At 39.5% G+C, this 22,486-nt stretch overlaps 1 protein-coding gene and 1 pseudogene across 26 annotated transcripts in view; both read right to left on the bottom strand.

Annotated features, from left to right (window-relative positions):
• Window positions 1-22,486, bottom strand: part of NDUFAF6 (NADH:ubiquinone oxidoreductase complex assembly factor 6) — a 222,698-nt gene that overhangs the window by 59,357 nt on the left and 140,855 nt on the right. For 16 of the 26 annotated variants that reach the window (NM_001354514.2, NM_001354525.2, NM_001354524.2 and 13 more), the window contains 6 exons: window positions 17,514-17,570; window positions 13,493-13,595; window positions 12,013-12,146; window positions 10,582-10,683; window positions 6,910-6,966; window positions 430-1,331 (listed from right to left, as the gene is read on the bottom strand). In NM_001354514.2, coding sequence (NP_001341443.1) covers window positions 1,203-1,331; window positions 6,910-6,966; window positions 10,582-10,683; window positions 12,013-12,146; window positions 13,493-13,595; window positions 17,514-17,570 — 582 coding nt within the window. In that variant the 3' untranslated portion in view covers window positions 430-1,202. Of the gene's footprint in view, window positions 1-429; window positions 1,332-6,909; window positions 6,967-10,581; window positions 10,684-12,012; window positions 12,147-13,492; window positions 13,596-14,544; window positions 14,664-17,513; window positions 17,571-18,212; window positions 18,435-22,486 lie in introns of those variants that run through there. The other 10 variants (NR_148914.2, NR_148913.2, NM_001354534.2 and 7 more) reach the window with 6 other exon arrangements.
• Window positions 3,826-3,925, bottom strand: RNU6-1209P (RNA, U6 small nuclear 1209, pseudogene; annotated as a pseudogene).

Genomic DNA, 22,486 nt, shown 5'->3' with positions numbered 1-22,486 from the left:
GTCAGATCGACCGATTACCAGCAATGTAAAAAATTTGGGTTTTTCCAATTGGGATGCATTTTCTAAAAGTTTTATATTATTATTAATTATTATTCGTTTGTCTTTGAGACAGGGTCTTGCTCTGTTACCCAGGATGGAGTACACTCATGCCTCACTGCAGCCTCACCCTCCTGGGCTCAAGTAATCCTCCCACCTCAGCCTTCCTAGTAGCTGGGCGTGCACCACCACACCTGGCTAGTTTATGTATTTTTGGTCGAGATGGGGTTTTGGATGTTGCCCAGGCTGGTCTCAAACAATTTAAAAGTTTAATGAACAAAAATGTGCCTCATTTCACAGGTTTTTAGGAAAACCAAATGAGAACACTGATGCAAGTATACAGCACAGTGCTCATCACTGGGAAGCACAATGTATAGCGCAGAATGTACAGTATAAAGTGTAGCAACCCTTTAATGGATGTTCAATACAATACCGTTCATATCACTTATACAAACTTTCTCAGTACAATTTTGTTCACGATCATGATAATGCTGAATGACAGAGTGAGGAAGTGGGATTAACAAAAAAGTAAAAGCTTCCAGACCAGCCAGAGCTAAAGTCAAATTAAGGCTCTGCTCTTGCCAGCCACTCCAACCTTAAAGAAGTTATGTTATTATCATGGATAAATTTTTACACAAGATTGTAAAAATTAAACGTTAAGGATAAAAGCCCACAACACGTGACTGATATTCCTCAAATATTAATTTCACTATTTGTGACCCCTAAATAAATGCATCTTCCAGGTGTTCTGAACACCTAGGTTATAGCTGCTCAGCATGTAAGCCCCTATGATAACTTGAGCCCTTTCCCCTTTCCTTCCCCAGTGGTGAAGGGAGAATGACATTCCTTCTCCCTGCCCACTGGCTCAAGTGTGGCTTATGGCCTATGCACAGCTACACCAATATTCCCTGTTGGAGCTCCAGCTTCCAGGGACAGCACAGCAGACACTGTCTGGGCCAGGGGTGCCAATGGCAGTGCCTCTGCCAGAATCTCAGCAGTCTTGGCACCCTAGTCCCACGGCAACTTCTCAATTTTGTGAGCTACTTGACATCCCATTCAATAAATTCATTTTCTCCTTAACAGTCATTTCCTGTTGTTCCTAAATAAGAATCCTAACTTTTATAAAACTAATAGACTAGAATTAACATCAATGCCATGAAATTATTTTAATATGTTTTTCTCCATGACTGAATATACAAATATAATGGAAGTAATGTATTCTTCTGCTGTAAAGATGGGTGGAATATATCAAAATCCACTCGCTGAATTTTCTTTAGAAAGTCCTCTAGAGAAACCTGGAAAAAAGAGAATAGTGATCACCAGATCATAAAATGATCAAGACTTAAAAAAAAAAAAAACTAACTAAAGAATAATTACAAGTATTTAGGCTATTTTAGTTTCCCTGAGATGGTTTTCTATTTAAGTGAGAATTTTAAAAGAGAGAAAGAAAAAGACATCCAAGAAGTTTCTATTAGACCAGTAAAAGGGTATCACAGAGCTAGTACCAGAAAAGCCAAGCCTCTTCTGCTCATAATATAAAAAGCTTTGGTTAAGACAAAAGGATTAGCAAAATCACGTTTGCCTGGCCTTATTACTAGATTTGGTGGAATGCAAACAGGCTGTTTCAATCAGGGAAAATGAAACATCCCCACCCCGACCCCCCAAATGTAGTGTACCATGAGGGGGAGCTCAAGTTGTCTTTTAAGAAATTATTTTGTGAAGAAGTTGAACAGGTCTCCACGTTGTTGCTAGAGCACATGATTTTCAACCAGGCAAAATTATCACCCCATCCTTTCCCCACCACAAAAAACTTGACAAAGTTTTTACAAGGATAGCAGCAGGATAGAAAACACCAACGATGTGCAGTATCTTTCTTTTTTGGCTTTCAATTGTCTTGATTAATTTATAAATTTTTATTTCATTTTAATAACATTTTTGTTAAACAGGCAGGTCACTTAGTTTTGTGCTCCACCTTTCTAAGCGGCACGAGACCTCCTCGTCCACATAAGCAGCGCCCCCTAGAGTTCTGCGGCACAGAACCTGGGGGATTAATGCAGGGATTATGACTATAGATTCTTTAGAATATGCAGATGAGAACAAAAACAAAAAATATTTTCTTCCAGACTTTTTTTTCCTATACTTTTATAAATATATGAGTGAAATACAAACAAATTCATTATCTACTTTTTTTTTTTTTTGAGACAGAGTCTCGCTGTGTTACCCAGGCTGGAGTGCAGTGGCATGATCTCGGCTCACTGCAACCTCCGCCTCCTGGGTTCAAACGATTCTTCTGCCTCAGCCTCCAGAGTAGCTGGGACTACAGGTGCATGACACCATCCCCAGCTAATTTTTTGTGTTTTTAGTAGAGACAGGGTTTCACCACATTGGCCAGGCTAGTCTTGAACTCCTGACCTCGTGATCCATCCTCCTCGGCCTCCCAAAGTACTGGGATTACAGGCATGAGCCACCGCACCCGGCCATTATCTACTTTTTAAAACCCTAAACTTACATATACAGACAACAGGAGACACATGCATCAATGTCCCAGCTGCCTTGTTTTGTATTAGGAAGAAACTTAGAAACAATCCAGAGACCACGCGTGGTGGCTCACGCCTGTAATCCCAGCACTTTGGGAGACCGAGGCAGGTGGATTGTTTGAGCTCAAGAGTTCAAGACTAGCCTGGGCATCACGGCAAAACCCCATCTCTCAAAAAATACAAAAACAATTAGCTGACTGTGGTGGTGTACACCTGCAGTCCCAGCTACTTGGGAGGCTGAGGTGGGAGGATGTCTTGAGCCTGGGAGGTCAAGGCTGCAGTGAGCCTGCACTCTAGCCTGGGTGACAGAGACCCCATCTCAAAAAAAAAAAAACAATCCAGAAATTCTTTGATCGAAAAAAAGAGGAATCGTTTGTACAATGAAATATTAATATTATACTACAGTGAAGTGAAGGTACTATAGGTAGATACAGTAATATGTACAAATCTCAGAAACATTAAGAGTGTGTACATGTCCTAGAAGACATCAATAGAAAATGATCCGTTTTTATAAAGCTCAAAAACAAAACTAAGCAATATGTTGTTCAGGAATATATAAAATGATGAAAGACTTCTTGGAATAAAAGCAAGGAAATAATATGCACAAAATTGAGGAGAGCTACCTAAAAATGAAGGCAGTGGCAGGGAAATGAGATGGGAAAAACTTGAGTCCAATTTAATGGTGACAGACTAGTTCCTGGCTCGAGTGGTAAGTTCATCGGTGTTTATTATGCTATACATTGCAATATATATACCTAGACAGATATATTCATTTAATATATAGCAAATATTAACAAGTTTAAAAGAGAATAAAAAACTTTGAAAATATTTCAGTGTACTTTCTTTCACATGTTCTCTTGGTTTTGAAAATATTTTAGTGTACTTCCTTTCAGATGCTCCCTTTCTCTGCAAAGAAAGCTCATGCTATTTCATGTTCTGTAACTTGCTTTTTTATCCCTTAATATACTGTGATCAACTTGCTATCTGTAAGAATTATGCTAATTTTAATAGCTTTATGACATTTAATTATAAGGAATAGTTAACAAAATTAAGGTATAGACACATAATAGATATTATATAGCTATTAAGTGTTATATTTATACTTTTTTTAATGATTCAAAAAAATGCTCAATAAACAGTACACTAACATGAAGTGTAATTTCAACTAAACATAAAAATTCATTTCCAAAAACCCCAGAATGACTAGCAGTTATCTTTTGGTGTTAGAATTATAGGTGATTTTGTTTTTTTAATGGAATGCTTCATGAATTTGTGTGTCATCCTTGTGCAGGGGCCATGCTAATCTTCTCTGTATCATTCCAAATTTAGTATATGTGCTGCCAAAGCAAGCATGGGTGATTGCTATTTTCTCCTAATACTGTTTATATTGTCCAAATCTTTACTACGAAAATGTATTGCTTTTAGGATTAGGAGAAAATTCCATTAAAATACCAAGGAAATGTGACCTCAAAATTAGAGCTCAAGTGGGTATTTTTACATCAGGCTTTGGTTCAAAGGAAAGTCTGGCTGATGGTAAATAAACTGAGTAACAAATTGATTGTGAAACTCTCAAAGACATTATAAATTTCTGAATATGAATTCTTGAAACCTCATCTATGAAGAATATACCATACCTAGATTAGTCATATTCAAAGAGTTTTTAAACTGCAAATCCTTTCCTTGAACAAAATAATTAACAGATGCCCCATATATAAAACAATTAAGAGGCCCTGTCCAAGCTGGAATGAGGGTGTACGACAGAAGCAGCACCTCAGGAATTGCCATGTTGCCACTCTAGTCTCTCTTGGCACAGGACAGAAACTGAGAGCTGGGGCTGGGCACAGTGGCTCATGCCTGTAATCCCAGCACTGTGGGAGGCCAAGGCGGGTGGATCACCTGAAGTCAGGCATTCGAGACCAGCCTGGCCAACATGGGGAAACCCCTCCTCTACTAAAAATATAAAAATTAGCGGGGCATGGTGGCGCATGCCTGTAATCCCAGCTACTCGGGAAGCTGAGGCAGGAGAATCGCTTGAACCCTGGAGGCAGAGGCTGCAGTGAGCCGAGATCATGCCATTGCACTCCAGCCTGAGCAACAGAGCAAGACTCCGTCTCAAAAAAAAAAAAAAAAGCAGAAGCTGAGAACTGGGCCCCACCCCCCGAGTTTCTGATTCGGCAGGTCTGTGAGGGAGCCCAAGATCTGCATTTCTAACAAGTTCCCCAGTGAGGTAGATATTGCTAGTCCAGGAACATTTTGGGAACCATTGGTCTATGACAGTAGTTTTTAGGCCTAGCCACACCTCACAATTAAAACTAAAGGGGGCTGGGCACGGTGTTTTATGCCTGTAATCCCAATACTTTGAGAGGCCAAGGCTGGAGGATTGCTTGGGTTCAGAAGTTCAAGACCAGCCTGGACAACATACTGAGATTCCATCTCTTCCAAAAATAATTTTTAAAATTAGCTGGGTGTGGTGATACATGCCTGTGCTCCTAACTATTTGGGAGGCTGAGGTGGGAGGATCACCTGAGCCTGGGAGGTTGAGACTGCTGTGAGCCATGACTCCACCACTGCACTCCAACCTGGGAACCTGGGCAACAGAGTGAGATTTTGTCTCAAAAAAAAAAAAAAAAAAAAAAAAAAAGCCGGGCACGGTGGCTCACACCTGTAATCCCAGCACTTTGGGAGGCCAAGGCAGGCAGATCACTTGAGGCCAGGAGTTCAAGACCAGCCTGGCCAACATGGCAAAACCTGTCTCTACTAAAAATACAAAAAAATCAGCCAGGCATGGTGGTGCATGTCTGTAATCCCAGCTACTCAGGAGACTGAGGCCTGAGAATCACTTGAACCTGGGAGGCGGAGGCTGCAGTGAGCCAAGATCACACCACTGCACTCTAGGCTGGGCAATGGAGTGAGAATCTGCCTCCAAAAAAAAAAAGAAAGAAAAAGAAAGAAAAGTAAAACGGGAAGCTTTTAAAAAGTATCAATGCCTGGGTCCACCAATATAATTGGTCTGGAACGGGGAGGCCAAGCATTGTTTAGGTCTTTTTAAAGCTCTCCAAGTGATTCTAATGGGCAGCCAGGGTTGAGAACCACCTTTTTCCACAGAAGTTAATAAAACAAAGTCCTTAACCTTTACGAAGCTTACTTAGTATGTTAAACAGCTGATGGTATATCCATCAGATAACCACTAAACAGGGTGATACAGAATAACATGTTGACATACACAAAATACATGTATGATTATATGTATATGAAAGGTTCAGAAAGATGAACAGACATTATCTCTAGATACGGTAGAATTGTGAGAACTCTGATTTCTTCTTTTGTATTCTCTTACACTACGAAAATTTAAAATATTAATGTACTACTTTTATAATTAGCAAAAGCTCAATTAAGAAGCAAAATGACTTCTCACATACAGACCTGAACACTAAGACAGAGGGTGTGAAGGGATTGAAATGAATTTCTAAGTATATTTCAGGGGAAAAGGTAGAAGATATGTTTGGTATTACAGAAAATGTGTAAGTTTACAATTTTCAAAGATTACAAATCTTTGAACCTTCGTTTCTATCTATAAAATGAAGTAACCATATTTTTGCTAGGAAGACTAGGAATAATGATGGAATGACCTAACCCAAGCCCTGTCTCATAAAAGGTTCTAAGTAACTGGTAGCAATTATCACTTCTCTATGTAGTTTTAGAACAACAGTTCCCAAACCTGTCTACGCATCAGAATCACCTGGGGAACTTCTTAAAATCACAGATTCTCCTAGGAACTGGCCTCCTCCTCAATCCCAAAAGTCTTACTAAAAAAGAAGACTCCAGGAATCTATATTTTTAAAAAGTTTTCCAGGTTACCCCACTGCAACCAGCTCAGCAGTGGGCTATGAACCACTGTTCTGGAACTGGTGCTACAATACGGTCAGGTCACAATGGAAAAAAAAATGAACAGAATAGTAATACTTATATAGCTATAAGCAGCCTAACAATCCCACAAAGTAGTTTCTCCTATTATTCCCATTTCACCTAAGAGTAAACTGAGGAATGTGGTTCTTAAGGAATTTAAGGTCCCATTGCTAGTAAGGGGCAAAACAGATTCAAGCCAATGCAATCTGGCTGCAAAGTCCGTGCTAAAAACTCAGCTCACCTGCCTCTGAGAAATACAGAAATGGCCCTCAGCAAAAGCATCAGTAACTAATGAAAGCCGCCATGAGGGAGGGAAACAAAAACAAAGGCTCCGAACTAAAGAAGTTCATTGGGAACTTTATAAAATATAAAAACAGATCATACACATCTGCTTCACTAATTATACAGCCTTCTCTGTTAATCTACTTACCGTCTGAAGAAAAGCAGGAAATGCTTTCACAGGAACAGTTTTGTGAAAGGACCTAGCCTAAAAAGGAAGAGGAGAGGAAGCTCGTTCAAAATTAAGCAAATAAACACTCTCCCTCTGAAAGCAACACCAGCAGTTTAACAATACTGATAGGGCCTCTCTCAAATGCAAGAAAACAGCTCATCTCCTGCAGATTAAGATTAGTTTCCTAGGCCTAAAGGACTCAGGAAAAAGTAACTACTGTAGTAAAAATTCCATCCTTTCTTACAGATTGGCTTTAGCATTTTCCAGCGACCTTACAATATCTCATAATAATTTTGACTCCCCAGCTCTGTGGTAAGGGGAAAATGAAGAAATACTTGCATTACCAAGTCCTGTGCACCCCTAGCTTAGACTGACTTTCTCTCCTGTTTAAATGAGTAAGACCCTCCTAGGTGATCTTGCCTGTGTTCCCTGACCTTTAATTCGTTCCACGCAGCCGGACAAATTAATGTCCTCACATCATCATTTCATTTTTACCTTCTTTAATTCCCTGATAGGTCAAGTTTCAACAATTCATCCTGGAATTCAAAGGCCTCCACATCTTGACTCTAACCTCGTCCATCCAACCTAACTCCCTACCACTCTGAGCTACGAACACCTGGTCACTCAGGCTGATGCCCATCATCCTGTGTTCGCCAAGCCCACTCCTGTCTCCATGTCTTCATTTATATTGTCCCTAACACCAGGAAAAGCCCTCTACTTCCTGACTTACTTCTTAACCCATTATACTCCAGTTTGACCCCCAACCATCTACTGAAATTACTCTATGATCATCCATGATTTACTAATCACCACATCTATCTTTTCTCTTCAATCTCTCTGTAGCATGTAAAACTCTGATACTCCTCTTTCTTAAATCTTCTCCTCCCTTGATTTTCAAGACACTGGCTCTCAGTTCTATTCCTCTGAACATTCTTTCCTTCTCTTTCCTCCTAATAAATGGCCCTTTCTCCTTTTACCTTGTAAACAGAAGTGGGCCTTGGGGTTCTGCCCCTGGTCCTCTGTACATTCTCCTTCAGCAACACCATCCAAACTTGGAGCCTTAATTATAAGCCTTTTATGTGGATGACTCCCAAATATATCATCTTTAGTCCTGACTTCCTTTAAGTCACAATCCTGCATTTTTTTAATAGTCCATCTCCTTCTAATCCCCTCAAATTCAATTATGTCAAGCAGCTAGTCCAAAGTCTAATGATCCACACCAAACATACCTTTAGTTTCCGTTGTCACTGTAGCTTTTGAATGGCACCATCAAAGTGCCATACTTGAATTCTTCATGCAACCTTCAACTTTCCCTCTATCTGGTCTTGCCACAATCCAATTAGTTATCAAGCCTTGTTACGTGTGGGATTCTACTTGTTATGTGTGGGCACGTATGTATACATATATATATAAATGTATATACACATAAACATCTACTGTCTCTAAATCAGACACTCTTTCTTCCTCTCCTAAGTCTCCTAACTGATCACCCAACCTCTAAACTCTCATCAAACACTGCTAGCAGGGTTTCCTATTCTGCAACACTCATATCACTGCTTTATTTGATGATGATGATGAAAACTAACATATTTCATGTACAATATGCTGCACTTCATTATAAACTCTTCATATATGTTAACTCATTTATCCAAATAACCCTTTAAGCTGGGTGCTAAAATGATCCACTACTACAGATGAGGAAACTAAAGCACAGAGAGGTTAAGATTACATGATTAGTAAATGGCAGAATTAGGATTTAAAGTCAGGCTTCTGGTTCCAGAGTTTGCACTCTCATCCACAATACTCTAATGCCTCTCAAAAGCCTCTACAACTCCATAATCTCTTCAATCCACCATTCCAAACCTATCTCCCAGGACCATGTTTCGCATAACCCATACACCACCAGTGGTGTTCAAATCTGGCTGTTTAAAATCATTTGGAAATTTTAATTCCTGGCCCCATCCCAGATTTACTACCCCAGTCTCCAGGGAGTGAGGCCTGGGAATCGGTATTTCTTAGGTGCCTTACATGTCCATTGACTGGGACTGCTCAGGTTCCACACAAAGCTTTCCTGCCTCTCATGATTCTGTAGTGTGCTCAGATCTTACCCAAAACTCTGCTAGTTAGTCCTAAGTAATTTCTCATCTAAAGTTCCATGTATTTTATCTATACCTCTGTCAGGGCCGAGAACTGTTAGATATTCATGAAATTAAAAAGAAGCTGAAGATAGTCTTTGCCCTCAAAGAGCTTACAATCTGATTACTTACGTATTTAATATTTCACAAGTATTTACTGAGTGCCCATAATGTACCAGGTACTTTAGATGCTGAAGAATATACAACAGAATCAAACAAAGTAACTTACATTCCAATGAAGTGGGGAGGCAATAAGCAAACTTTTAATGTCAGGTAGTGAAAAGCACTAAGCCAGGTAAGGAGACTGAGGGTGATGGAAAAGGAAGATGTTATTTTAGGTAACGTGGCCAGGGAAGACTTTTGTGATAAGGTGACATTTGAGCACTAACTGGAGTGGAGGTGGGGTACAGGGGAAGAAGCAGGAAAAACAGCAAGTGCAAAAGCCCTGTGGTATGCAGGTAAGTGTCCAACTCTTTAGAATCTACTGAAGGCTAAAAAAAAGAAAAGGTTCACAAGAAGTACCAGGAAAAATTAGCATTATGGGAGCTAAGGAAATAGAAAGTTTCCACCAAGTCTTCAAGAGCCACTGAAATCAAGACACATTTCAAGGAGAACCAGAAAGGAATAACACCATGGAGATGAATGACAGACAATTTCAAGAAAGAGGTGTATAGTCAACAGTGTCAAATTCCAAACAAAAGTCCTGGAAAAGTTAAGAGGTGAAGAACCAACTCTTAGGGAACAACTAAAGTGACAGGCAGGAGAAATCAGGAACCAGTTCAGGAGCCAAGTCAGAGAATCAATGGAAGAAAAATCAGAAAGTGACACAGAGAGAGACGTCTATGGTGTCAAAAAAAGAAGAAGAGTTCAGGAAAACGAGTTGTAAATGACCATTAAATTTGGCAATAAGGAGAACTGCCAAACTCGTGATTGTTTATTAGAGTGGGCAGGATAGGAGCCAAATCATAGCATGATGAGCAGTGCCAAGGTGGAAAGGGCCCGAGGTAACAGTGAATGCCGACCACCTCCTTCCAAGAGTTCACCTAGGAGAGAAAAATACCAACAGAAGGATCCACAGGCTGCCTGTAAATTCAGAAGGCAGCAGCAACAAACCAGAAGATAAAAGAGGCCACCTATCAGAGAAGCAAACTGAAAACACCAGCTGGGGGTGGCTGAGGGTGCAGCCCCTGGGAGGGGGACGAGAGGCATCAGCCTTGGAAGGCAGAAAGACACCCTGTCTTCCAAGAGAGAAGTGGATGGAGCACAGAGGAGCCCACATGAGAAAGCTCAGGCTTGATTTACTCAGTAGAGAACGCATTCATATGCTGTGAGGTGGGGGGAGGGACTTTTTTAAGTGAAAAAAGTTTACAACAGACTCCGAGATAAATCTACTGGGAAATCAATGAAAAATGGAAAAAAGACTGCCAAGTTGGGAATATCATAACCATGTTCTAAGAAGAGCCACATCTAGAAATGATTATTCCCTAAATGATTTGGCAAAAAAAAGCCGACTTACATGCTTTAGGTGCAAGTGTGCTTGACTGGCAATGTCATATATTACATCTCTCACATTTTTATCTTGGTTCCTCCGTAGAAAGTCCTCTTGTGAAACACCATGCTGTGTGGGGAAATATACATTATATTAGGAACCTAAAAGCACTTCCTTCCAACAGTTCACCTAGGAAAGAAAATTAAACTAACAATTAAAACTAACTTAGCACAAGAGAACACGTGACAGAACAGTATGTACAGTTTAATGCCTATTTTGTCTTTAGAAATGTATGTGAGCACGTGCGTGTGTGTGCATGTGTGGAGAGAGAGAAAAAAAAACAAAAATGAGAGAGTGACACCTGGAACATGCAACAAGATTTTTTGTTTTTTGAGACAGGGTCTTACTCTGTCACCCAGGCTGGAGTGCAGTGGTGCAATCATGGCTCATTATAGCCTCAACCTCCCAGGCTCAAGGGATCCTCCCACCTTGGCCTCCTGAGTAGCTGGGACTATAGGTGTGCACCAACACACCCAGCTAATTTTTGTATTTTTTGTAGAGATGGGGTTTCCCAATATTGCCCAGGCTGGTCTCAACCTCCTGGACTCAAGCGACCCTCCCAAAGTGCTGGGATTACAGGCATGAGTCACCGCACCTGGCCACAACAAGATGTTAATTAACAAGTTGTAGGTAGAATGAAAATATACAAGCAAGAAAAGAAACATACAAAAAGTTTGAAAGAACAAATAATGAATCTCATATAGAAAACAAAGTTCTCGCCGGGCGCAGTGGCTCATGCCTGTAATCCCAGCACTTTGGGAGGCCGAGGCAAGCGAATCACGAGTTCAGGAGATCTAGACCATCCTGGCTAACATGGTGAAACCTCATCTCTACTAAAAATACAAAAAATTAGCTGGGCGTGGTGGCGGGCGCCTGTAGTCCCAGCTACTTGGGAGGCCGAGGCAGAAGAATCGCTTTAACCCAGGAGGCGGAGGTTGCAGTGAGCCGAGATCACGCCACTGCACTCCAGCCTGGGTGACAGAGCAAGACTTTGTCTCAAAAAAAAAAAAAAAAAAAGAAAAGAAAAGAAAACAAAGTCCTCATAAACAGATATTTAAAATGACTTACTCCAATAAAATAAAATAAAGAACAGGCTAAGGTGAACGCTAGGAATAATTACTGCAGTTGTTTGGAAGGGAGCAAGGCATCAACATGAAGCTATACCAAATGAGGTTCTCTAGACCTTCCTACTCATTGCTCCTCCAGAGACCTAAAATGCCTGATGGACACAATTCTGACTTGATAACTCTGGGATAAAAAGAGGAAGGCCATTTTTAGTAAGCAATAAGCATTCCTTTCAAAGCAATTACTTGAATAGACTAAGCAAAAAAGCAAAAGATAACTTCCTTCCCCATATTCCTGAGGTAAATTATTCAAAGGTACAAATTACAGCCTTACCAGCATACAAATATCCATGGGAAGGAACACCTTTCTTCTGCTCCCATGATATGGTGTTGCTCTCAAGCAAGTGACAATGCCTTGTGCTTTTCCAATATGACTTGCAGCATGATCTGCATGAAGATCCTTTATACCTATGATTTCAGAAATTACACAGGGCTGCTCTATTCTAAGTGCATAATAAATCAATAGAAATAGCATAGAGAAATAACCTAAACATGTAAAAGGAGACATTTATCCTGTTTTACATCTGAAAAACAGGATTTATGAGTGAAAAACTGGGCACAATAACAAGTTGACCATTTACCACTAGCAGATATCTAAATCTCAATCTCAACTTTTAAATAAGAGTTTTCCTCAGACTACAGCACACTAAGAACACATTTAGAATTTTAATCGGCTATCATGGAAAAACTTTACAAGTCTTCCATTTCTTCTCCTCTGTGCAATTTCCATATGATCTCATTTTAAGAATATGCTTAACAAACATTCTACTCTTTGCTCCCTCCTTTCATTGTGATGGCAAACATGTCACCAGAGCTGTGGGCCAGAATAGGCCTGGGAGATGCAATGGGGACTTGTATTATTCTTTTAGGGAGGTATAGAGATATATATTACCTTCTTCAAATGAGATGGTATTGTCCTTGGCCCAAATAATTTCCTTATTTCAATAAGACCTCACTAACTGGCAACAAAGTCAGAGAAGAAATCCTACCATCAAAATTTTGTTTTTAAAAAAGCAGAGAAAGAAAAATCTCAAAAACTTTTATAAATGCAGTTTTAGGCCAGGCACTGTGGCTCACGCCTGTAATCCCAGCACTTTGGGAGGCCGAGGCGGGCAGATCACGAGGTCAAGAGATCGAGACCATTCTGGCCTCGTCTCTACTAAAAGTACAAAATTTAGCTGGGCGTGGTGGCACGTCCCTGTAGTCCCAGCTACTCAGGAGGCTGAGGCAGGAGAATCACTTGAATCCGGGAGGCAGAGGTTGCAGTGAGCCGAGATTGAGCCACTGCACTCCAGCCTGGGGACAAAGCGAGACTCCATCATAAAATAAAATAAAATAAATAAAATAAAATAAAATAAAATAAAATAAATGTGTTTTACTTCTTCTACTTTTCTTTTTCCATGGATAAGTACTATTAACACGAAAGGAAGAGTCAGGCTATAGGCCTTCCAAATTGTAGGAGATGCTATAGTAAAAAAGTAAAGCCACTTGCAATTACCAGATTATTAATTTCAACATTCCCATGAGGTAAAGTAGTTGTATGAGAGCCTGAGTCTTGGATTACTCTGCATTACAAAGAAAGAGATATAAATTCTTCTTCTTGCTAATAATAATAACAAAAAAAACTGTTCCTTTACAGATAGTATAAAGGAAGGCTTTAGTGCTAAACTGGTTAGATTACCAAATTATGAAAAAGTGAAATCTCATAGGTATTTTATTGGAAAAAAGAAGTATGAAACAGAAAAACAACTTACCCAATATTTCTAGTGTTAAGTAAAGAAGAGAGCTCTGTGTGTTTTCAGCATAATTTTCCAGTTCCTTGATATTACGATATGCTTTGTCATCCAGATTTTTTTCCTACATCAAATAAAATGCAAATAAAGTCTGTTGAACTGTCAATATTTTAGAAAGAAAAGGTGCTGTTTTTTGCCCCAAAGAACTGAATAACGAATAAAAATATTCAGTATATGTTATTTAGTACACAATAAGATAAAACATTACAATATTGAAGTTCTACACATTCAATACTTTGAAATCACCACCTCAAAATAAGACATCAGGAATAACCTCAATATACAAATCACCATGGACATGGCATTTTTTTTAAATTTCATCTGAAGCCCAAGTTATCAAAATAAACTGACTTTACTGAGCTCTTACATAGGCACTTTAGACATTACGTAGGCACTTTAGACATTATCTTCTTAACCCAAACAACCCCCCCTCCAAGAGATAAGGAATTAATACTTTTCCCATTTTACAAATGAAGAAACTGAGGCATGGACACATTAACATGTCCAAAGACACACAGTTAATAAATAAATGGTGGGGACGGGAACCCACATATTTGACTCTTGAATCTACATGCTCAATGAGGAAAAGGTACCTAGAAAAAGAAAACAGAAACCAGTGCCCACCTCATCCCCTAAAAAGAAACCATGCTCAATAAAATAACAGGGTTGATTCCCTAGATACACTATATGCAAGAAACAGAAAAATGAGAATCTAATAGCGAGAACACTTAGCCACTTTTACAAAGACTATTATTAGGGCAAAATATTATCCCCTATTTCACCCTCTTTAAAATCAGAAAAAACTAACACCAGCATCAAATGCCACATGCAGGGTTTAAAAAAAAAAAAAAGAGGCTGGGTGCGGTGGCTCATGCCTGTAATCCAAGCACTTTGGGAGGCCGAGATGGGCAGATCACCTGAGGTCAGGAGTTCAAGACCAGCCTAGCCAACATGGTAAAACCCTGTCTGTACCAAAAATACAAAAGAAGTCAGCTGGGCATTGTGGTAGGCACCTGTAATCCCAGCTACTCGGGAAGCTGAGGCAGGAGAATCACTTGAACCCGGGAGGTGGAGGTTGTAGTGAGCCAAGGTCGTGCCATTGTACTCCAGCCTGGGCGACAAGAGTGAGACTCTGTCTCAAAAAAAAAAAAAAAAAAGAAAATGACATCAGCAATGATTCCAGGAAAAAAAATGCATCCTTTATGGTTTTTTTTGAGACATAATTAACATACCATAAAATTTATCCCTTCAAATAATACAATTCAGTGGTTTTTAGTATATACACAAAGTTGTGCAGCTATCACTACTATCTAATTCCAGAATATTTTAATGACCCCCAAAAGAAAAGTTGCATCCATTAAGCAGACACTTCCCATTTCCCCCCCTCCTCAGCCCTGGCAAACCACTAATCTACTTTTCATCTTCATGGATTTGTCTATTCTGGGCATTTCATACAAATGGAATCGTATAATATGTAGCTTTTTGTATCTGGCTTCTTTCAATTAGCATATTGTTTGCTTCATCTATTGGTACTTTATTCTTTTTAGTTGAATAAATTATGAATAATATTCCATTGTATGGATATACAACATTTTGTTTAACAACTCATTAACAGACTATGAGTTCTTTCTACTTTCGGGCTTTCATGAATAATGTTGCTACAAACATTCATATACAAGTTCTGGGTGGACATATGTTTTCATTTATCTTGGGTATAAACCTAGGGGTAGAATTTCTGGGTCTATGATAACTCCTATGTTTATCTCTTCGAAGAAAAAGTTGCCAAACTATTTTTCCAAAGCAGCTGCACCATTTCACATTCCCACCAGCAATGTACGAAAGGTTTTAACATCTCCCTGTTCTCACCAATACTTGTTATCGTGCATCTTTTTTCTTTTTTATCACAGCCATCCCAACAGCTGTGAAGTGATGTTTCTTTGTTTCAATTTGCATTTCTCTAATGAAAAGATGCTGAACATCTTTTCAGATGCTTATTGGTCATTTGTACACCTTATCTGGAGAAATGTCTACTCAAATCCTTTCCCCATTTTTAAATTAGGATTTTTTTTTTATTCTTGAGTTGTAAGAGTTTCTTGCATATTTTAGATAATTGTCCCTTATCAGATATATAACTGGCAAATAATTTTTTTCTTTTAGTCCAATCTATCTATTTTTTCTTTTCTTGCTTGTGCCTTTGGTATCACATCTAAAAAACCACTGCCTAGGGCGCGGTGGCTCAAGCCTGTAATCCCAGCACTTCGGGAGGCTGAGGCGGGTGGATCACGAGGTCAGGAGATCAAGACCATCCTGGCCAACATGGTGAAACCCCATCTCTACTAAAATACAAAAAAAAAAAATTAGCCGAGTGTGGTGGCGCACACCTGTAGTCTCAGCTACTCAGGAGGCTGAGGCAGGGGAACTGCTTGAACCCAGGAGGCGGAGATTGCAGTGAGCCGAGATCGTGTCACTGCACTCCAGCCTGGCAACAGAGCGAGACTCCATCTCAAAAAAAAAAAAAAAAAGAAACCACTGCCTAACCTAAAAGTCATTAAGATTTACACCTATGCTTTCCCCTAAGAGTTTCACAGTTTTAGCTCTTACATCTAGGTCTTTAATTTAGTTTGAGTTCATTTTTGTATATGGTGTGAGGGAGGGGTCAAAACTTATTCTTTTGCAAGAGGTATCCAAGTGTCCCAGCACCATTTGTTGCAAAGACTGTTCTTTCCCCAGTGAAGTGTCTTGACACCCTTGTCACTCAATTGACTATAAATATATGGGTTTATATCTGGACTCTCATTTCTATTCCATTGATCTATATGTCTACCCTTTATCAGTAACACACAGTTTGATTACTGTAGCTTTGTAGTTAAGTTCTGAAATCAGGAAATGTGAGCCCTCTAACTTTGTTCTTCTTTGTTAAGATTATTCTGGCTATTCTGGGTCCCTTGCATTTCCATATGAATTTTAGGACCAGTTTGTCAATTTCTGCAAAAAAGAAAGCTGGAATTTTGAAAAGGATTGCACTGAATCTATAGATCAATGTTTGTTCACAGTTCTTTACTTTTAAATATCCCCCCCTTCAAAAGCCAAGTGTTATTTTTCATTAAACTAAAATGGTATCTCTGTCTTGAGTTCCCTAATTTTCTTTACCTTGTAAAACAGAAAAGATGACACCTGAAAATAGGTCTTCTTAGCTAATATATCTTTTTGGCTTCTTCTTGTTATTGCTACAGCCTATAGTTAGCAAACTATCTAAATAAACTAAGTAAACTTACATATTTCCATGACAACAGCATGTAATTAATATCAGGCCAAGGGGAACACAGACCTAACAATGCATCAGAAAGGTCACACATGTTAGGCCAGGTCACACAGCAATTCACTGACTTGGCTGGACCTAGAACTCAGTTCTAAGAATTTAGTACAGGATTCCATTCACTGGAACTGTCAGACTTTCTTTATGCCCTCTACTATTTAGACACCGATCCAAGTACTGGGGTATATTTAAAGGTATGTGTATGACTAATCAAGTATTTGATGATATTAAGGAATAATTAGTAATTTTTAAGGTATGATAATCATATCATGGCTATGTTTTTTGTCTTTATCTTTTTAAGATATATATGTATTTACAAATCAAATGATAAGATGTCTGGGATTTTCTTTAACATGTCACCAGATACTCTACACATGTAGAGTAGTCTCTCTACTTTTATGTAAGTATGAAAATTTCCTTTTGAAAAAACCAAAATAGTGGAGTGTGGTTGTGCATACACATGCCTCTGCCTTGGTGCTTGTCTGTCTCAATGTGAGGGTATGGGGGGTAGCATGCAAGGGTAAAGTATGAATAAAATGGCATAATTCTCTAAAAGTTTCCTTCCTCCAAAATATTAATATACAGTCAAAAAATGTCCTTCTTGAAGAATTAGCTTAAGAATTAAACAGGAAGAAAAAACTTAAGACTTGAACAATTTTGACTCACTCTTTCATCGACGATTTTCATAAGCCATCTTTTAGTCAGATTATGTCTTTTAACAGCCTAAAAAACAAAGAGCATTATAAGTTTTTAGAAAGTACTAGAAATGACTTCTGTAGATCTGAATAAAATGAACAAACCAAATACAAAACTAAGTAAGGGAACATTTGTAATAACATCACCATATAGACAGCTATGTTAAAGAAGTATCAGGGAAAAAGAAAATGTCCCTAGAAAATATTTCAAAACATTTATAAGACTATACTTCTAATACTTTTCTACTAACTTGTCTTTTTTTCCTATACTGCTAATAATTTAACAATTCCACTTTCAAACAAAACAAAACCAGAATTAAGCATTAAGTACTGAGCTTCTCTATTAAGTGATATACCCTGACTTTTTTATTTTTTTAAATTGTAGAGACAGGGTCTCCCTATGTTGCTGGTCTTGAACTTCTGTGTTCAAATTATCTTCCTGCCTCAACCTCCCAAAGTGCTGGTATTATAGGCATGAGCCACTGTGCCTAGCCACCCTGACTTCTATACTTACTCATTATACGCAAATTGTTTTCCACAGGATAAAGATTCTATTTAGCAAAAATAACCACTCCTCGAAAAATAGAGTAACTAAAACTCCAACAAAAATAATCCACATGGTAAATTGTTACCTTAGCAAGTAAAGACACTCCAGTAGGAAAGAGCTCACCTAGTGCCCAGACACTTGTCTCTACTACCATTCTCCTTAAAGGAATCAGGGCTCTCGAGAAATGGGCGATTCCAAAGGTGAGGCAGGGGAGAGATTCAAAAGGATCCTAGAATATCTTATTGTGTCAGAAAATAAGAAAGTGCTCCAAAAAATGACGGAAGCGTGTCACAAGGACATAGCAGCCGCTGTGAAGGAGTTTCCGCTGTCCAAAGCTGGGACAACCTGAACACCAAAATCAGTACATGAGTGAATTATAAACTGTAAAAAACAAGAAATCATGAGTCTACACCAATAATTAATAAACAAATAAATATAGGAAAATAAGAGCTCATTCTTATAGCAGAATACTAAGTGCCAACTGGTAAATGTGGACCAAGTACTGAAGTTGAGAAGTTATCATTTTGCAACTATAAGAGTAAAGACTGAATCAGACAAGAACCATTAATGGCTACTAAGTTTAGGGAGAAATTTTGATGAGGAGCAGGATATTTGCAGTCTTAAAATGTCTCCTCAAAAACTGTTGATTACTGCAAGCAGAATTATACAGTGGGAAAACCAGGCAAAATTGTGACTAAGTAATAAAAATTAACAGTGCCATAAAGGACAGGTAGACGAATTGTGCCTCTACATGTGATACTCTGAGAAGGACATACCACCTATGAAGTATGGCTGCCAGCTAAGAATCCATAACTTCAATCTAATCATGACAAAACATCAGACAAATCCAAAATTAGTGTTTTAAAAAGACGAGGTCGGGGGGATACTCTTCAAAAATATACATGTCATAAAGGGCTAAAAAAAGCTACGGAAATGTTCCAGATTAAAACAAACTACAGAGACAAGACAATTAAGTACATGACCCAAGATCAGATCCTATACTGGAAGGGAAAAATGATACTGTAGACATTATTAGGTCATCTGACAAAATTGGAATATGAATGGAAAATTAGATGAAATTGTTCTATCAAAGTTAAATTTACTAAAGCCAGTAACTGTTCTGGCCGGGCACAGTGACTCACGCCTATAATCCCAGCACTTTGGGAGGCAAGGCAGGAGGATCACTTGAGTTCAGGAGTTCAGGAGTTCAAGACCAGCCTGGGCAACATAGCAACCTCATCTCTACAAAACATTTAAAAATTAGCTGAGCTTGCTGGTACGTGCTTGTAGTTCCAGCTACTCAGAAGGCTGACGCAGGAGGATAAAGCCCAGGAATTCAAGGTGGCAGTGAGCTATGATCACCACACTGCACTCCAGCCTGGGCAACACAGCGAGATCCTATCTTTAGGAAAAAAATAGAAATAAAAAAAAAAACTGTCCTGATTATAAGTATCACTATTCTTAGAAAATATTAGGCCGGGGCGGTGGCTAATACCTGTAATACCAGCACTTTGGGAGGATAAGGTGGGAGAATAGCTTGAGCTCAGGAGTTTGAGACCAGCCTGGGCAACACAGTGAAACCCCCCCTTTTTTTTTTTTGAGACAGAGTCTCGCTTTGTCGCCAGGCTGGAGTGCAATGGCGCAATCTTGGCTCACTGCAACCTCCACCTCCCCGGTTCAAGCGATTCTCCTGCCTCAGCCTCCCGAGTAACTGGGACTACAGGCGCACACCACTACGCCCGGCTAATTTTTGTATTTTTAGTAGAGACGGGGTTTCACCATGTTGGCTTGGATGGTCTCAATCTCTTGACCTCGTGATCCACCCGCCTCGGCCTCCCAAAGTGCTGGCATTACAGGTGTGAGCCAACGTGCCTGGCCACGAAACCCCATTTCTACAAAAAAAAAAATTAGCCAGGCATGGTGGCGGGTAACTGTAGTCCCGGCTACTTGGGAGGCTGAGGTAGGAGAATGGCTTGAGCCCAGCAGGTGAAAGTTGCAGTGAGCTGAGATAATGACACTCCACTCCAGTCTGAGCAACAGAGCAACACCCTGTCTCAAAAAAAAAAACAAACACAAAAAATAGGCCAGGTGCGGTAGCTGACACCTGTAATCCCAGCACTTTGGGAGGCCGAGGCAGGCAGATCACGAGGTCAAGAGATGGAGACCATCCTGGCCAACAACCCCGTCTCTACTAAAAATACAAAAATTAGTTGGGCATTGTGGCACACACCTGTAGTCCCAGCTACTCCGGAGGCTGAGGCAGGAGAATTGCTTGAACCCAGGAAGCAGACGTTGCAGTGAGCTGAAATCACACCACTGCACTCCAGTTTGGTGACACAGCAAAGCTCCGTCTCAAAAAAGAAAAAAAGAAAATATTTACTGAGGCCAGGCATGGTAAAGACTGAATCAAACAATTCGCTCACGCCTGTAATCTCAGCACTTTGGGAGGCCAAGGTGAGTGGATCACTTGAGCTCAGGAGTTCAAAACCAGCCTGGGCAACAAAGTGAGACCTCACCTGTACTAAAAATTAAAAAAACATCAGCCAGGTGTGGTAGCATGTGCCTGTAGCCCCAGCTACCCGGGCCTGGGAGATCAAAGCTGCAGTGAGCCAAGACTGTGCCACTGTACTTCAGTCTCAGTGACAGAGTGAGACTCTGTCTCAAAAAAAAAAACAAAAAGAAAATATTCGCTAAATTTTTTTGGTTAGGATTATGATGTATATAACTTACAATCAAATGCAATTTGTCACAAAAAAATTATGAATGTGGATACACATATGGGGGAATAGGAGAAGGAGGAGAGGAGAAGAGCGAGAAACTGAATATGTGAGTGAGGAAAAATGATTAAACAAATGGGATAAAATATTAACAATAAGTGGGCCATGCACAGTGGCTCACACCTGTAATCTCAACACTTTGGGAAGCCAAGGTGGGAGGATGGCCAGGAGGCAAGGAGAGGCAACACAGTGAGACCTCATCTCTAGAAAAAAAATTTTTTAATTAGCCAGGTGTGGTGGCGCATGCCTGTGGTCCCAGCTACTCAGGAGGCTGAGGCAAGAGGATCGCCTGAGCCCAGGAGGTTGAGGCTGCAGTGAGCCATGTTTGCACCACTGCACTCCAGCCTGATGAATCTGGATAAAGGGTATAGAGGTGTTTGTCCTGCTTTGAATTTCGTAACCTTTCTGAAAGTTTGGAATTATTTCCAAGTAAGTTTTTAAAATGTTTTTTTTTCTGCCATGTCAGCATTAAGCATAATATATTTTCACAAAAAATAAACATAGTAGTGAAACATAAAATCTAGGGATATGCTATACTTCAACTAAGACTCTCAGATGTCACTGATACTAAATGTAAAGGCCAGCGTGCTCATCAAAATGCATTACATGACAAAGGTGTATGTATGGAGAACAGAGCCCACTTTGCCTGGCAGGAATCTAATAGAAGTTAAAAAGGCGTTAGTTCTTAAGTGTTCTCGGCACTACTACTACTACTACATGGCAGGACTCTCCCCATAGGCCTCTCTTCCAAATTCCAGGAATCAGCCAATCGGTCATTACAGACTCATGCTCTTGTTTTATTTTACACATCTGGGCCGATGGGCATGTTTGATTTTGTGGACCTTCAAGCACCATTCCTAGCACATAAAAAAGTACTAAATAAATATTTAATAAATGAAAAGCCAAACTCCTATTTACTCAAGGCTGAAGCTGTAATGGCTGTAGATCCTTGATTATAAAATATAGCTCTGATTCAGAAGGAAATCGGAGACCAAGGTAAAAAAGTAAATATTTTAAAGAAGTTGGAAATCTGCTGAATGAAGTGTGAACTCTGGAAACTGAAGCCAAATAGAAGAAAGACCTTGGTTATAAACATAAATTCAAACTGCAGCTAAAATTCATACAGAGAAATGGGGAACCCATCTAGAATGGATAAGAAATTATAAATATTCAAGTATCTTGTACCCTAAAAATACCAATGAAACAGTGCAGCAGAAAAGTGCTCTCTGGATAACACATTGTCATTGTTCCCTCTATTTAATCTCCTCAAGAACCCAACACTTCAAATACCCAATATGCCCCATATGCTCCAGCAGAATGGGGAAGGATAGAGAACATGCAGCAAGGACAACTGCACTGAACATGACCTGCATCTTTCAAATATTCACGTTCAGCTTCAACACCGGTCACGTCAGAAAGCCAGCCAACATTAACCATCAAAATTTAAGCAGCTATTAAAATCGGACAATTTAGCAATCCTAAATTGGCAGATATGTAAACATTCTGTAATTCAGATTTGTCTTCTGGTTTTTTAAGGGAAGCCAAGGAAAGATAAATTTGCATCAAAGGACTCTCTAATCTTCCACATATTTCCCAACAAAGGCCAGAACCTTTTACGCA

Source organism: Homo sapiens, chromosome 8 (assembly GCF_000001405.40).
Source record: "Homo sapiens chromosome 8, GRCh38.p14 Primary Assembly".
NCBI lineage: Eukaryota > Metazoa > Chordata > Mammalia > Primates > Hominidae > Homo > Homo sapiens.
The sequence above is the reverse complement of the archived record's forward strand: the minus strand, read 5'-3'. Positions and strand labels throughout refer to the sequence as shown.